Raw genomic sequence first — 18,274 nt, 5'->3', positions numbered from 1 at the left:
AAAGCTCATGTAACATTCACTTTTTCTTTTACCCTCACAGTTTCTCCAAAATTAAATATTAGAAGTTAGAACTGGAATGCTTCTTTCCATTTAATTCTACATTTTTCCCTCTTGCTCCATTAAAATACACTGTCCTGATGGTTTTGAATTCCCAGACACAGGTGGCATTCCTGCTGACATATCAGTAGTGAGAACAGTGCATCAGTCACCAGAAAATTATATCAGACATACGCTAGAACCACTTAGCAGCTGAAACACTGAGGGATGGCATTAGAGAGGAAAGATGAAAAGGACTGGCAAGGGGAGAATGTGGATGCATCTCCACATTCCAAACCACCAAGGATCTCAAAAGCAGCTCGGCAGGAGCTTAATGGAGCACAGCTCAATTTTACAATTAAGAACAACTGTTTTCAAACGAGCCCTAGAATAATGATTAGGCATACTAAATAGGGAATATAAAGTTGGATTAGGAAGGAAGGCATTGAAAAAGTATGTTCTGTTCTAAGCAACAAGAACACTCACCTCTCTGAGGTGAATACTGTACCAAATGCTTTTATCTAAAATTTTAGAAACACGGTCATAATTTAAGGCAATGTTCCCAGACCAAGGAGGTATTAAAAATTTTTACTGTTTTTTCATGTTTTGAATGCAAGCAAACTATGTCAAATGTGCATAACTGATGAAATTTGAAAAACCTGTTAGCCACTGCCACAAATTTCAATGGTAATCCTTGGTGGCATTTTATATATTTCTTCCATTTCTCTTCCACAAATTTTTTTAAACTAATAATTTCTTTAAGAGTTTGTTAGAGATCTTTGGAGGTATCACACAATGTTTTTTCTATCACTATTTACTACTGATAATAGTGACTACAACAATATTTAGCTCAGTGCTAATCACTTTGTTTTAAATTAATCCTTTCACAATTCTATGAAGTAGATATTATTATCCCTCATTTTATATGAGGATATTGAGAAAGTAACTTGTCCAAAATTATCATTGCCCAAGCTAAAGCTAAAGTCATTTCTAATACCATAGTACTTACTCCAACCACTATGCTATGTTGCTTCCCACATGCGTACTGACAGAATGTAAACTGTAATAAAATTGTCAAGGTTTTTATAAAAGACATAGTCCTATAACTCATGAATAGTTTATTTCTCAATAATTTAGATTATTTTCAGAACACTTTTGCAGTATTATCATGCCATTAAGATGAAAGCAGTAATACCAGAAGAGGAAAATGTACAAGTTAAAGACAACTATATTAATCAATGCCTCTAGGTCTAAGAACCTTTCTCAAAGCTTAAAGTCATCCCAAGCCAAACACTGTCTTTCCTACACACTCGACATCCAGCAAGTATTGTGGGTTATCATTTCAAAATATAACTCAAATCCAACAGATTCTCACCACTTGCTCCGTTATATCCCTAGTTCAAGCCACCATCATCTTCCTCTGAATTATTGCTATGGCATCTCAATTTGTCTCTTGGTTTTTTACCTTTGCCCATTCTCTATCTTCACTCCGAGTACCTTGTCTACATATCAGCCACCGTGTTCGTTTGCAAACATAAGGGAGATCATTTAATCACTTGAGCAAAATCATGAATCATTTCCCAATATAATTTGTTTTTTATTCATTTTGAAACAAACTTAAACTTACATAAAATCTTCAAGTCCAATACTAAGAATAATATTTTTCCTAAACCATTTTAGAATAAGTTGTCAACCTGATGCCCGATCACACCCGAATACTTAGTGTGTATTTCTAATGCAGAAAAAAGACATTATCCTATGTAACTACAATAAAATCATCAATATTAACAACTTCTTATGTGACATCGGCATTACTATCACCTAATCCTCAGACCTCTTCAAGTTATACAGACTGTCTAAATAATGTTCTTTACAGCAAATGGATTCAGCTGAGGAAATTGTAGTGCATATAATTGTCATTTGTCTTTTATCTTCTTCAATCTACAGTAGATCCTCAGTTTTTACTTGAATTTTATATCCTTAACATTTTTGAAGATTTTGAAATTATTTTGTAAAATGTCCCTTTATTTGGGTTTGAATTATGTTTTATTGTATTCATATTATGCTTATTTGGAAGGAGTATTAAAAAAAAAAATCACAGTGTACTGTCACCTGCATCCAGTCAGGTAATTTTGATTTGTCTCACTTCCAATTGTGTCAGTTTGATCATTTAATTAACTTCTTCATAGTACTGTAACTCTTTTTTTATTAATTGTCCAATTAATAAGTATTTTATTGGGAGATACTTTAAAGCTATGTAAATATGACATCCCCCATCAAACTTTTAATTTATTCCTTTATTTACTGATAGCAGCATAGATTCATGGTTTCCCATATCTTCAATGGGTTATAATGTTATATATATAAATAATGTTATATATAATATAATAACAGGACTTTACATATAACACTATAACCCATTGAAGATATATAATTTATAATGTTATAAATAGCATTTGTTTAGGTGCACAATGTATTCCGTATTTGGCAAGTGGGAATCTTTTCAAGCAGGTTTTTAGGTCATCTGATATGTCTTCATCATCCTTTGAGCACATCTTCACTTGGTGACATAATAAGATATTCCAGATTCATCTCGTACTTTCCCTACCCTAGCCCTAGAGTAGCCCATTTCCTCAGTAAGCCCTTGTTTATTTTAGTAGAGAATAGAATTTAGAAGCTAAGATCTGGGTGGTAGGTATGCTCATTGCACTGAGGCACGCTGTTTCTAATCATTCTCAGTAGGCAGAATATAGAGTATATGTATGTAGGTATGTGTATTTGTACACATACACATCTATATAAATATTTTGCTTGGAAGCATACATCCTCCCTAGACTGAATTGGGGAAAAAAAATGAATCCATGAACAGACCAATAATGAGCTCTGAAATTGACTCCTCCCCAATTCATTCTACGAGGCCAGCATCATCCTGATACGAAGTTATGGGAGAGACACAACAAAGAAAGAAAACTTCAGGCTAATATTCTTGATTAACGTAGATGCGAATATCCTTGACAAAGTATCAGAAAACCAAATCCAGCTGCACATCAAAAAGCTAATCCACCATGATCAAGTAGGCTTTATCCCTGGGATGCAAGGTGGGTTCAATATATGCAAATCAATAAATGTGATTCATCGCATAAACAGAATTAAAGACAAAAACCACATAATTATCTCAATAAATGCAGGAAAGGCTTTCAATAAAATTCAACATACCTTCATGTTAAAAGTCTTCAATAAACTAGGCACTGAAGGAACATACCTCAAAATAATAAGAGCCATCTATGAAAAACCCACAGCCAACATCATACTGAATAGAAAAAGGCTGAAAGAATCCCCTTGAAAACTGGCACAAGACAAGGATGCCCACTCTCACCACTCCTAATCAATGTAGTATTGGAAGTCCTGGCCAGAGCAATCAGGCAAATGAAAGAAATAAAAGGCACCCAAAGAGAAATAAAGAAAGTCAAACTGTCACTGTTTGCAGATGACATGATTCTATGTTTAGAAAACCCCATAGTCTCTGCCAAAAAGATCCGTGAGCTGATAAACAACTTCAACAAGGTTTTGGGATACAAAATTAATGTACAAAAATTAGTAGCATTCCTATACACTAACAGCACCCAAGGCAAGAGCCAAATGAGAAATGCAACTCCATTACAATTGCCACAAAAAGAATAAAATACCTAGGAATACAGCAAACTAGGAAGGGGAAAAATATCTACAATAACAATTACAAGACACTGCTCAAAGAAATCAGAGATGACACAAACAAATGGAAAAACATTCCATGCTCATTGATAGGAAGAATCAATATCATTAAAATGGTCATACTGCCCAAAGCAATTTATAGATTTAATGCTATGCCTATCAAACTACCATTCTTCACAGAACTAGAAGAAATCTATTCTAAAATTCATACAGAACAAAAAAGAGCCTGAATAGCTAAGGAACGCCTTAGCAAAAAGAACAAAGCTGGAGGAATCACATTACCTGATTTCAAACTATACTACAGTAACCGAAACAGCATGGTACTAGTACAAAAACAGGCACGCAGATGAATGGAACAAAATGGAGAGCCCAAAAATAAAGCCACATACCTACAACCATCTGATGTTTGACAAAACTAGCAAAAGCAAGCAATAGGGAAAAGACTCCCTATTCGATAAGTGGTGCTCAGAAAACTGGCTATCATATGTAGAAGAGTAAAATAGGACCACTTCCTTACACCAAATACAAAAATCAACTCAGGATAGATTAAAAACCTAAATGTAAAACCTAGAAGTATAAAAACCCTGGAAGATAATCTAGGAAATACCATTTTGGACATAGGAACTGGCAAAGATTTCATGACAAAACCATCAAAAGCAATCGTCAACAAAAGCAAAATTGACAAATGGGGCCTAATTAAAGCGCTTCTGCACAGCAAAATAAACTATTAACAGAGTAAACAGGCAACCTACAGAATTGGAGAAAATATTTGTTGTGAACTCTATATCTGACCAAGGTCTAATACCCAGAATCTGCAAGAAACTTAGACAAATGTATAAGCAAAAAACACACAACCCCATTAAATAGTGAACAGAGGACATGAACAGACACTTTTAAAAAGAAGACATACATGTGGTCAACAAGCATATGGAAATACAAACAACATCACTGATCATTAGAAAAATGCAAATCAAAACCACAATGACATACCATCTCGCACCAGTCAGAACGGCTGTTATTAAAAAGTCAAAAATATCAGATGTTAGCAAACTTCAGAGAAAAAGGAACACTTATGCACTGCTGGTGGGAGTGGAAATTAGTTCAACCATTGGGGAAAGCAGTGTGGCAATTCTTCAAAGAATTAAAAGCAGAACTACCATTTGACCCAGCAATACCACTACTGGGTATATACCCAAAGGAATAGAAATTGTTCTCCCATGAAGCCACATGCACATGTATGTTCACCGCAGCACTATTCACAGTAGCAAAGACATGTCATCAACCTAAATGCCCATCATTAGTAGACTGGATAAAGAAAATGTGGTACATATACACCATGGAATACTCTGAAGCCATAAAGCAGAATGAGATCATGTCATTTACAAGAACATGTATGGAACTGGAGGCCATTATCCTTAGCAAAGTAACGCAGGAAGAGAAAACCAAATACCATGTGTTCTCACTTAAAAGTGGGAGCTAAATAACGAAAACACATGGACAGAAAGAGGGGAACAACAGACAATGGGGCCTACTTCAGAGAGGAAGTTAGGAGGATGGAGATGTTCCAAAAAAAAAGAAAAGAAAAGCAACTGTTGGGTACTATGCTTAATTATGCTTAATGCCTGGGTGATGAAATAATTCGTACACCAAGTCCACGAGTCACAAGTTTACAAACCTGCACATGTACACCTGAACATAAAATAAAAGTTAAAATATTTTAAAGGAAACTCTTAATTGTTCCTTCTCTCATAATTAATAGTCAATGCTGTCTCACCTTCTTCTATCCAATGATATATCAAACTATTTACATTCCTAATACTCATTATGCCACCATGCTTTACATAACGTTGTTTCCTTTATTTAGAGCATCCTTTCCATGGTCCATCTTATATCTTTCAAGTAAGCATCCATGCAGTTACCTAATTTTCCTTTCTGGACAGAGACAGCTGAATGACCAGAATTTCTTACAAGCAATTAATTGTTTGGAACTTAAAGGTGAGTACTACAATGTCTAAGATAGGATATAAATAATGCCCAAATAGTTGATTCCAGAGATTCATGTACAAAACATATACCAAATCAAAAATAATTCAGCAATCTCTCAAGGTATATGCAGAGTAAAGTAGAGGTACTTCTCGTATCTCTTGTGAAACAGGACAGAGTCTGGCTGTCTACTATGGCCTTTGTTACCAATATTTCTTGCCTCATGGGGTATCATTGTGACCAGATAGATATACCTGTGCAGGTGGCTTCCTGAAACAGGAGCTAGAGTCTTTCAGAGTGCCTTTCAATCTGCCAAAGTTACCTGCTAATCCCCAGCCCTTCTGGCCCCTTACACTGTTTTACTATTAGAATTTCAGTTCCAAGAGGGCAAGGCCTTCTCTATATTGTTGTAATTGTATTCAATACATATTTTTTGAAAAATAAACAAATATCTCTATACTGGCCAAGGCCTTGAGAGTGAGATTTGGCCTTAACCTGCTGTGCCTTTTTACTCTACAAAAACCCCATCTCCAAAGAACATTTTCCTCGCTTTTCAGCGCCTTGAAGGCAGAGGAGGCTAATTGCATTTCAGAAACACAAAGACCAAGTTATTCATTAGAGGTCAGGATGTTGTTAAGCATACAAGAATGCCTACTGAATCCCTTGGGTGGATGTGGTTATAAACTTGTGAGTCTTTTCTTCTCTTGATGGAGCAAACACAAAAATATACCATTTAATCTTCAAGGAGTGTTAAAAAGCAACAGAAAAATTATCTTATTTATTCAATGGACAATGCTCTCTCTTCATTCCATATTTTCATATGTTGTTCACTTCCCCGAACATTCTGGATTCATCTTTTTCACGTTTCAGTTTAAACATAACTTCCACAAGGTACTTTACTTGGATGTCTGTATTAGCTTACGCATCTTTGCTTTATTTTCCCTTAGCTCTCTGCACTTCTCATATTGTAAGATGTTACTTTACTTTTATTATTTATTTAAAGACTGTCTTTATTGCTAGGGCTCCTGTTGATCTTGTTTCTTGCTCTATTCTCAGTACTTTTCACAGCGTCTTGTACAGAGCTGTGCTCAATAAATATTTGTTATTTATTGAATATTGAATAGTAAAATGTCTAATGATCTTTTAAAAAACGTTTATTTTTATATGTCCAGAGCCTCAAAATGACAAAAAATAGAGAATGTAACATGAGTCAGTAGAAAGGGAGGCCAGGTGGGAATGAGGAAGGGAAGGAGGAAAGAAAATGAAGGGAGGGTAGGAGGGAGGGAGGGAGGAAAGCAAGGAAGATAGGGAAGAAGGGAGGGAAGGAGGAAGGAAAAGAAAGCAGTCAAGGTATAGATTTTGGTAAAGGAAAAGTATTAGTGAAAATTTAAGAAGAAAACTGAGACTCTCTTCAATGTCCCATCATCAATTTACATGGTAATGATGAGGGTTCTTGTCACTAGCTGTTTTAAACATCACTCATGTAAAATGAACTTAAATTTTACTGACCCCAGGTTAAAGAGACATGAATTGTCTGTAATTAAAGATAATATTTATAAGTATTTCTAGTGGTACTTGAAATATATCAAAGAAACTGATACTTATTAACAATAATTGAGGTCACGTATTTCGTCCTGAAACAATGTGTGTGTTCATTAGACAGTACACAGCTTAAATACTTTTTAATGACCAAAACTGTGAGCTAAAGATTTTAATTTGATATTGATTTAATATTGAAGAAAAAATTTAATTACTAACTCATGTCAAGTATATTCAGAATATCTCAATAACCTATTTAAGAGTCTTCAAATTTCATTATTAATAAATATTTGCATATTGGATTTCAAAGTAAATGATCTTATAAATCACAGTTAATTTTGAAACATGTTTATGTATAATAATAACTATTGTTTTAATTTATCTGTGTGGAAAATTTAATGAGTTAATAATAATAGAGTAAGCAATATAAAGAAATGTTACATCCATATATAACTTTTTAAGTGCTGCATTTTATTGTTACTTAAAGATCATAAAAATGTTTAATTTCATTCACAAAAGCAAGTTATTTCCAAAGAAAATATTAATATGTAATTTCAATATTTTTCTTTAGTTATGATTTGTATCAAGACAACCCATGCTAACCTTTTTCATTAAGAAAATATTTCTGGCAACTAATAATAAGAAATATTGCAGGAGAAGGTATATGGTTAAATGATGTTCAGTTGAAGAAAAAGTAAATTCTACAAACAGCATAATGTCTTAATTTTAAGGGAACATGTTAATGATTAAAATAGTGATTTTTTTTCAGTTTATTTACTTGCACAAAAACCTAGTATAAAGCAAAACATTTATATCTTGCAAGATAGTTTTAAAGGCTTGATTAAGAGGAAATTAGCCAGAGTAGATGTTTGAGATACTAACTGAAATTGTTATATTTGGTTTCAGTTGAAAAGACAGTAACAAATACATACATATTTTGGGGGGTGGGATTTCCCCAAAGTAGCACATCAAAATGAAACTCCAGAACATATAGCAAAGCATGCTGAAGTTAAGGGCTTTATGTTCTTTCATGGCTTAATCAATTTCATTCGCCATTTATGCAAGCTCCTTGATGAGGTCAAAAGTCAGCCAAAAGGTCTCTGATCACCTCTCCCAGACAGAATTACATTCCCCCACATTTGTGTCTACATTGTGCCCTGTACAGCCTTCTATTGTTATTGTAGCAATGCTTTACTGCACTTATTTTTTAAGTCACCCCGTTGAGGACAGAGACCATTCCTAAGCTTTATAAAAACAATAAATGACTAAATTGTCTTATGTTGTAGAGAGTGGTAATAATAAACCTGTCTTGGCAACCATGTTATTTCTGGTTCAAATATTTAGTTATCTAACAATAGTTATAAAAATTATATCTCAGGAAACATTTAATGTCCTGAGTCACTAACTATATATTAAAATATTATAAAATGCCCAGAAGGCTTTCTATGCAGTTTAAAGTTATCAAACACTATTACTTCATAAACATATATTCTATGATTAGACACTAATCTTTTACTACTAATCACTATTAAACTCTCAGATCTAATGAACTGTAGATTCAACAGACAGTAATCAGTATGGTCAAAACACTGTAGACTATAGAAACTAGTATTGATTCTTCAGAATCTCACCAAATATGCCACTTGATTCAAAATATCTACATTTTCATCAGGTTTCTTCTCAGATATCACTTTATCACAAAGGTCTTTACTCTTCCACCCAGAAACTTGGTTCTCCTTTTACCCTGTTTTTTTTTAACATAGTATATATGCATTCATGCTTTAGCAGAGCATTCCTGTGTGTATACATGTGTGTTTATGCATGTATATACAGATCTATTTTACTAATCTATGTTTTACATATACACATACAGACACATGTATGTGTGTGTGTGTGTTTATTATCTATCTAATTCCTCTAGAATATAACCTCCATGAGGCCATTTTTTTTCTTGCTATAGTCCAATACCTGGAACAGAAGAGTAGTATTAGGCAATCAATACACATTTGTTAAATAAATACTGGTTACAATAAACTTTTAAATTTGTTTCAAACAGTAATATTTCCTAGCAACATTTATTTTTAAAACTCTTTGAAAAAAAATCTTTCCTTATTTGATAAAAGATAGTAGTCTGCCACATGAAAAAAAGCTCAGCATCACTGGCCATCAGAGAAATGGAAATCAAAACCACATTGAGATACCATCTCACACCAGTTAGAATGGGGATCATTAAAAAGTCAGGAAACAACAGGTGCTGGAGAGGATGTGGAGAAATAGGAACACTTTTACACTGTTGGTGGGACTGTAAACTAGTTCAACCATATTTCAATCAATTTCTTTGATTTCTTGGTCTACGGACAGTGACTACATTTTTATGAAGGTCAACATCAAATTCAAGGTCCATTGCCCTTTCTTGTAATAATGCTTTGAGATTTTAAGATATTCTTTAACAACAACATAAAATCTTTAAATACTTTAAAGAACATATTAATAAGATGAAAAAGAAATCATAAATCCTGAAAAACAATGTTGGATGTTTCATCACAAGTGCTAATTGCCAATGAAAACAGAATTTATAATGAATAAAAAGACAGTGTGTATATCTATACACACACACATATATATGCACACATATATATGAGTGTGTATATGTGTACGTGCATATATGTGTGTGTGTTTGTATTATTTAACATACTCTCAATTTCTTTGATTTCTTGGTCTACGGACAGTGACTACATTTTTATGAAGGTCAACATCAAATTCAAGGTCCATTGCCCTTTCTGGTAATAATGCTTTGAGATTTTAAGATATTCTTTAACAACAACATAAAATCTTTAAATACTATCCTGCCTCTTTCGGCAATCAATAAAAATCCTTGACATTGTGACAAAGGCTACTAGTTGCTTCCCATTAGCCATACTGTCCTGTCTTAGAGTCATGGAATATATACTTTTTCATAGAGGTTCCTAGAGGTACAGAGTAAAGACTACATTTCCTAGCTTCCATTGCAGCAAGGAGTGGCCATGATTCTAAGACGTGGACTAAAAGAGGGAGGTGGAAAGGACGTGTTTAACTTCCCTTTTGTGTGAGTGTGCTACAATGCCATCTTGCACCATGCAAATGGGGGCAATCCCTCAGCCCAGCAGAGTAGCAAGATAAGAAATACGAAGCTTGATTATTTTATAGGGCAGATTCTCCCCAACACTTTGGCCTTTTTTTTTTTTTTTGACAGTTATTTTAGATCACTGTCAGAACAGCCAAACAAATAACCTAATTAATGTAAGTAGGCACCTATAAAGATTAATATCTACATTAGGCATATTTCTATTGATTGCATTTATGAGACAAAAAAGTGCTAAAAGTGATATTGGAATAGCATTGGAACTGTGTCCTGATGAACCAAATGAAGTATAACTTGTGAAGACCAACTTCAGCAACTTTAGCAGAGTGTAATGTATCATTAAAAATTATAAATTCATGATTTGATAAACCATAATGGCCTATTGTTAATAACCATATTTGGCTCCTTATTGTTTTTATATTTGAGTCATTATGACAACTATGCTGGAATTTCATTATCCTAAAGAAAGTGCTTATTCTACTGATGTCATTTTGAAAAGAAATACTTATTTGCATCATAGCACTTATACCAGTCAACAATACCATTCCCCTTACATACATATGCCACCAACCAATACACTAAGAATATCAGAAATTCAGACGTAATCACATCTGTAATCCCACGATATTGCCTTTCTGAGGTTTACAACAATAGTCCAACTAATAGTAAACACTGGATATATTTTTGCAGTGTAAAATACAATTCTAGTATTTATTGTACTCCAAGATTTGACACCCTAGTGCAATCTGTAAATTTAAACCTGAATTTAAGACCTGTATAAATGTTCATTTAATTCATTTAATTCATCTCCTTCATTTACATCTGAAATAGTTGTAGGTTGTGTGACCCAGCCTTCAATCCCATATACTTCAGCATGTTAACATGAATCTTTCATTCATTTATTCATAGAAGTTGAGCTTATAGGCTTCTTTCATTCATTTATTCATGGAAACTGAGCTTATAGGTTATTTCTACATACAAAGTGGAAGATCTATTCTCACTCAGTTGTGATCAAGATGCAGGCCTAAGCCAGCCAGCTCCAGTACTATTAAATAGTAACTTGCTTAGCATTTCCCTAGAAATACAAATAAGTTGAATTCTTGCAATGTGTGTCATGTCCAAATAGAAATAGTTATGTAGGGAGCACCATTATATATGAGGATGCTGGAGAACAGCCACATGAGGAAATTGTGATAAAGATTCCATGAGACTGGTACCTATAGGGTTTAACACAGTCAGATACATAGTAAACTGTCAGAAAATGTTGGTTGTAAATTGTTCTTGATACTACTTTTCCTCTCCATTTAGCCAACCAGATATTTCTAAATACCTGAGAGATTTTTCAACTAGATTTTGTAAAAGACTACAATAATAGATTAATAAACAACATAACTTTATGAAATATGCATCATTTATTACACAATTAAACACAATCAAATACATTATAGATATGAGTATAATTAATGTATCTACATAACCACAATATGAATCTGGTATTAAAGAGAATTTAACATCTATATAGAGGCTTTTTATTTGGCATTGGAGTCTGTTAAATGCTTATTCCTTGCCTCTGTTCCAAACGCGTACAAATCATCCACTCTACTTGTTTCACATCAGGATAGTAAAATTACGTATCATAGATTACTTACTGATTGCAAAAAATAAACTTTTCTTTAATTGGTCAATTTTAATACATTAAAGTACCAAGTTTTCAGTAACAATTTTTAATTAAAACTCTAGCTTTGAAGGCTTCTATGTATTGAGTTACAAATCCACGTAAATGCTGAAGACTTCTAAGATGTGGCCCCCCACTACAAGTCAGCTATTGGTTTTTCCAAAATGCATTCTTTTCTGCCACCTAGGTCTGGGTAAAGTTGAAAGGTGAATACCACTTTGAATGGAAAGGGAATGGCTTCTGAATTGTTTCTGTAGAAATGTGTTTTATTCACTTCACAAAGGTATATTGTCCAAATGATCCATCCAAAAAAAATTTGTGGTAACAGTCAATTTAAATAATCAATAACATATAACTTTATTTGTTAAATATAAAATAATTTGAAAACAATCTTTCTTTTGAAAATTTAAGATTGACAAAAAAAATCAACTAAAAAGAATAGTGGCTGAAACTGAATAAAATAGCAAGAACTTCAAGGATATATTTGTCAAAACATTTTGAAACAATGCTCTCCATAGACACATTCATCCACTGTTTGCTGGAACATAAATTCCTCACTTAATATTATTGAGTCAATTTAGAATGACATCATTAAATATAGTTTTTTGAATGTTTTAATTAGTACTAAAAAAAGACAATTCTCTGAATCTGAAATATTTCTTTTTTCAATCCCTACCTTATTATGTAGCAGCTTTTTAAGATTTTAGGCTGACTTGAATAGCATGGTAAATTATCTTAAAACTGTGGAAAACTTTTTCATGTTCAGATTTTAAAAAAAAACCTATAATCACTGACATGTCCAATTTCTGATTTTTCAAATAAGATAGATTTCTTGTCTGCAACAATAAACATTTTAAGTAAAGCTAATCTTTAGGATTAAATACATTTATTTTTAAATGAAGCATTATTAATTTTCTATAATCCATATTAATGATTCTCAAACTCTTTCTATAGAAGCACCCTTAAAAACAGCAGAGTAAAACATTTTTCTTGAGGACATGAGCTTTACCTCATTAGCTCAAGACAAGCTCCAAATGGCTTGAAAATTTTGAGTTTTATTTTATATATTAATTTTAATTTTACCTTTAATGTCAATCATATAATCCTACAGTTTTGTCAGAAATACAAGGTCAAAAATGCATTCGTGCTAACTGCTTATTCTAAGAATTAACACTTTCTTGAAATTAGAAACTAAGAAATATAGTCATCTACATTAGATTCACTTTTCAAGATAAAATACAGTCAAATATATTTACATCTTTATACTTAAATTTTGCTCCCTGTTTGCAACGGACATTTCTTTTTAACTGGCCACCTTCTAATTACCATGCTTCCAGTAACAGCTTCAATTATTTTTTCAGGAGAAGGGAGTATCTATGCGACTTTCATTTTCAGTTTCTGTGCTTTGGGTGACAAGCCATCATTTCCTGCAAGTGTGGAACATGTGATATAGGCTAGAGCTAATAAACACTTGTTATTCCTCTGGCCTCAGTGATTGGTTGAGGGTTTGGCTTACAACCAAATGGATCTAATTAGAGTGAATTTCAGAATTTCATGGCAATTCTTTTTCAACTTAAACTTTGTAGGCTGTGAGACTGGAGATGCTGCAGCCGTCTTGCTCTTCGGAGGGAAGAGTGTGTATGAAGATGGAGCCAATGGAAAACAGAATAGAAAGAGAAAGGGAAAGAGAAACTTTTGATAAGATCATTAGCACACTTAAATACACGTTCACAACTGAAATCAGCATTATCTCTGGGCTTTTTCATTATTACGTCAGCAAATAAAAACCCTTTTGCTTAAACTCAGGCTAGAGTTCTTGTAAACTAAAAGTCTTAATTGGCATCTCATTTTAAGTGGATTTATTTTATATCTGGGGCTAATTTTCCACCACGTCCTCAAAACTTTGAAAAATAAATTGATACATCTTTTAGTACTATATGTATCCCCTGACTTCTGACATCCCTACTTTCTTTTTTCATCCCTATGGATCATGCAGCTCTATGATTATGTGATGTATATATCACAGATTCTATCCCCGTTACTACTCTTTCCTAAGTTTCTAAGAAATAGCCTCTTCCCTCATTTTCATTGAAGCATGAAAACTCTGAAATACTATATTCTACAGAACCCTCTCATTTATTGCAACTTTCCATTTGAATAAATCATTTTTTAATCTTTATGTTTTGCAACCCTGATGAAATAACTGCTTTAATCTCATTTGTTCTAAAATTAACACCATACTTTTTTTTTATTGAAACAGAAAATTTTATTTCAAACTCACTGAGACACAGTGTGTGGCAGTGAGTTATGTCACATTGTTGCACCTATGTGAAAATCTATTTTTAAAATTATATTTCTGGTGTGTCATCTCTAATAAAAAATCCCAAGAAGCTCTTTTTCTTTTCACTGTCTCTGCTTAAGAAAGGAAAGTAATGCAAAATGAAATAATGTATAAAGTAAAAATATGTTCAATTATCTGTCATTTGTAAATTAAGGAACTATGAAAATTAATGGTAAAACTCAATAACTTATTTAAAAGTAATGGCTTGAATTGATCTTTTAAAATGAAATTGTAAAGACAGTTTAGACTAAGCTTTACGGAATATTAGCTCTTTAACGTCCATTTTTAAGAATTATTCACTCATTTATTTAGTATAATTTTATTGCCTATAATATGTGAGCATTGTGCTATGGAAAACAATGGTGACAAAAAAAAAAGATATAGCATTTCCATTCATTAATTTTACAAGCTAGGAGAAAAGTCAAATACAGAAGCAATTATAACCAAAAAGCTGTGTGAATGTCAAGACTAAGAAAAGATGAGATACCATGGGGGCACGTATAGTGAGGTCTAGCCCAATCTAGGGGTTAGAGTGCTGCTGTCCAATAGAAATAGAATATGTAATATATTTGTAATTTTTAAATTTATAGTAGCCAAATTTTAAAAAGTAAAATGTAAATACATACTAGGATTAAGCAGTAACATCTTATACAATTCAACAGCTGAAATGAAATATAGTCTTCCAAGGCAGTACAGTTGTAGTTAACAAAAATTTTTACACTACTTCAGCTTTTAAATTTAAACAAACTAAAACTAAATAAAGTAAGAAATTCAGTTTCTCAGGCACACGAGCTACATTTAAGTGCCCAACAGTCACATGCGGCTCCACACTACTAACATATAGGGCAGGTTCAGGGGATTCTTTGAATTAAATATCTTAAATCCGTTCCAGAATGCCTTTCTGTAAAGCAGAAGTGAAAAAGCTTAAAATTCTATTTCCATGTCTTCCAAGATGCTAGGATGGGTCCTACCAATTAGATATATTCACATAAGGCTTCAATTGAGAAAAGCCTTATATGGGGAGAAAGCAAGGGCATCTGGCAGATGTTTAGCTGTCATGGATCATGGGAGAGGTTGTGTGGTTCTGAGGCCAGCAGCTTTGGTGGTGTTTCCTGATAATACAGATTTTTCAATATTGCTGAACGACACTGCCCCCTTGGCAATGTAGTTCTTTCATGTGTTTCTGGGAGGTATCCTCAAAAGGTCAGTCTAGAGTCAGCAACTTCAGCAAATCCCACATTTTAAAGGGTTATTACTACTTTAATAAATCTGTTTCTGTGTAAAATTGTAGGAGTAGATTTCTCTTTTGGAGCTAGCTCCCTGACCAATATAGGCACTAAAGAAGTCTTCTCAGATAACTAACTTTAAGCCTATATCTAAAGAGTAATAGTTGTCTGTAGAATAGTGATAGGCAGTAGATTTTAGATAACAGGAAATATTTAGGTATGCTGCTAAGTAAGAGTGAATGCTGGTTACAGGAGCCAAAAGAGTTATGTATGGTTAGAATAGCAAGGAAATGGTGAGATCAACCTGAATTCGATGACTCTAGCTCAATGCATTGAAAGCCACCTCACAAAATGAGCAATTCACTGAAAGGAACAAATCACCAAATGATCAATTTATCAAATTTATATACTTACCAACATCTGTTTCTTGTAGTAATTTATAAAGCTTACAGTAATGCCTAATACATGGATTAACAGAGTATGGGCAGGGGGGTTGTCATGACTGCGGATTTTTCTTTACAGAATTTAATTATCTTTTTCCTGCTTTCCTTTCTTTTTACAAAGAACATATTCATAAAAAGAACATGCTGTTTTTAAAGAAACAAATTCAATTTCTGACTCTTGTGGTGTTCTGTTTTGTTTAACAAATTGAGCATTTTTTTTTTACTCTTCCTTATTGAATACATCAACTATAATCAAGAAGAGTGTCTCTTAAGTTTTTAGTAAATTGGCAAATTTGGTGAATTTAGAAAATTGGAACATTCATTCTGAAGCTGCATTGACCTTCTTGGGCTAGAAGAGAAATGCAGTCTTTGAGGATCCATTTAAAGAAATGGGGCTTTGTCTTTTTTTTTTTTTTTTTTTGTCTCGCTGTTTGGCCCAGGCCGGACTGCTGTGGAGCAATCTCTGCTCACTGCAAGCTCCGCCTCCCGGGTTCATGCCATTCTCCTGCCTCAGCCTCCCGCGTAGCTGGGACTACAGGCGCCCGCCACCGAACCCGACTAATTTTTTTATTTTTAGTAGAGACGGGGTTTCACCGTGTCACGCCTGTAATCCTAGCACCTTGGGAGGCCGAGGTGGGCGGATCACGAGGTCAGGAGATCGAGACCATCCTGGCTAACACGGGGGCTTTGTCTTAATGGCAAGGTGGAGTCATGAAGAGTTGTAAGAAAGGGAACGGTGTGAATCACTGCAGAGTAAGAAAAAAAGTCTGCAGTGGAGCAACAAAGGCGTCTGAAGACTGCATGATCGTGTGGCCCTCAGTAATCCACGCAGAATGATGTGAGAGATAGATATGAGAAAGACAATCTTTGAATATTTTTCTTATATTAAGTATGAAGATTAAAAGTAGTTTTGTTTTTTTAAACTAATAAGAATAACTAAAATTGAAGCATTATGAAAATCTTGAGTAGCAGGGCACATGGCAAATAAAAGCAGTTTCAAGAAGGTTAAGCCTCTTCTGATTTCAGAATACAGCGTCTCATGAAACCAATTCCTTCCATCAGTTAATTGCGAATTATATTGGTATGATTCAAGTAGACCCTGAGGAAGGTTCTGTAATGTCATAACACTATTCCACAAAATTTCCCATTAAGTTAGCAAAGTTTGCTTACCTCCCGTCTCCTAACAGGTCTCTTAATCCAGCATTGTGGTTTCTAAATTACCAATACTTTATACATTAGACTTATACACAAATTAGAATTTACCAACAGGAGCTCTCAAATGTTTTTAAAACATTTTAATGTTGACTACAAGTTTCGGCAGAGCACATCCAATGATAGCTGCCTCCCCATGCACACATTTTGTAAAAATTTGAACTCCATTTTTACTAATTGGCATTTCAATGTTTTGAATCACTTAAACATTTGCATCAAAGTGAAGTGTTACTAGCTCTCAGCATGGACAACCTATTTCTATTCGTGAAAATCATTATTACTACTGGCCATTTACTGATGCTCAAAAACACAGACTTCAACAGCTAACAATTTATTTTAAAATAGTTCAAGTTTTATAATAAAGAAAATAAATATAGCTTCTTCAGGATCACTTTCTTCCTTCATATAATGATACTCAAGTGTTGTAAGTTCTCAGATAACCCAATTACTTTTTGTAAATAGGGCATGTGAGCTATTTTTTAAGGCAACAAAAACACTTAAAGATTTTCCTCTGTTAAAGACTCCAATTAATTACATAAATAGAAGTAAGCTATGCTTTTTACAGTGTGGATTGCACATTTGACCTTATCCTGACAAATATCATGAAACCTCATAATATGATGCATCACAAATTACTTTTCACCATGAAACTGTAGTCCATTTGCAAACAACCTCTCTCTTTCTGCGTGCATTTGTGTGTGTGTGTGTGTGTGTTCTCTACCATGTGCATTTGGTATAATGAAACAAAGGAAACTTGGAATGTTGGTGAAATTTATTTCTGTTTCACATTTATGTGACATGATTGACTGTGGAGCAATGCTATGACAATCAATAATTTTTTTTCTCAATTTTCCCATCCCAAATGCCACCTCTTTCATATGAAAACTTTTATGAATGTTATTATTAACTCAGATTTGAAATTCTTCTACTCTGAACCATTATTGTATCTATTTTTACTTCTTATTGGCATCTACTAAATTCTCCTTT

General features: G+C 33.6%; 1 protein-coding gene across 10 annotated transcripts in view, besides 1 other annotated feature; it reads right to left on the bottom strand.

Moving 5' to 3' along the window:
* CCSER1 (coiled-coil serine rich protein 1) overlaps positions 1 to 18,274 on the bottom strand; it is a 1,477,902-nt gene that overhangs the window by 392,621 nt on the left and 1,067,007 nt on the right. The window lies entirely within an intron of this gene.
* Positions 94 to 712: an enhancer, noted in NCBI's record as "OCT4-NANOG hESC enhancer chr4:92133114-92133732 (GRCh37/hg19 assembly coordinates)". NCBI's record gives its function as "activates a minimal SCP1, AML or CMV promoter by ChIP-STARR-seq in naive H9 embryonic stem cells {active_cell/tissue: H9 hESC(naive)}" and the evidence as "EXISTENCE:reporter gene assay evidence [ECO:0000049][PMID:30033119]".

This window comes from Homo sapiens, chromosome 4 (assembly GCF_000001405.40).
Source record: "Homo sapiens chromosome 4, GRCh38.p14 Primary Assembly".
Lineage (NCBI taxonomy): Eukaryota > Metazoa > Chordata > Mammalia > Primates > Hominidae > Homo > Homo sapiens.
The sequence above is the reverse complement of the archived record's forward strand: the minus strand, read 5'-3'. Positions and strand labels throughout refer to the sequence as shown.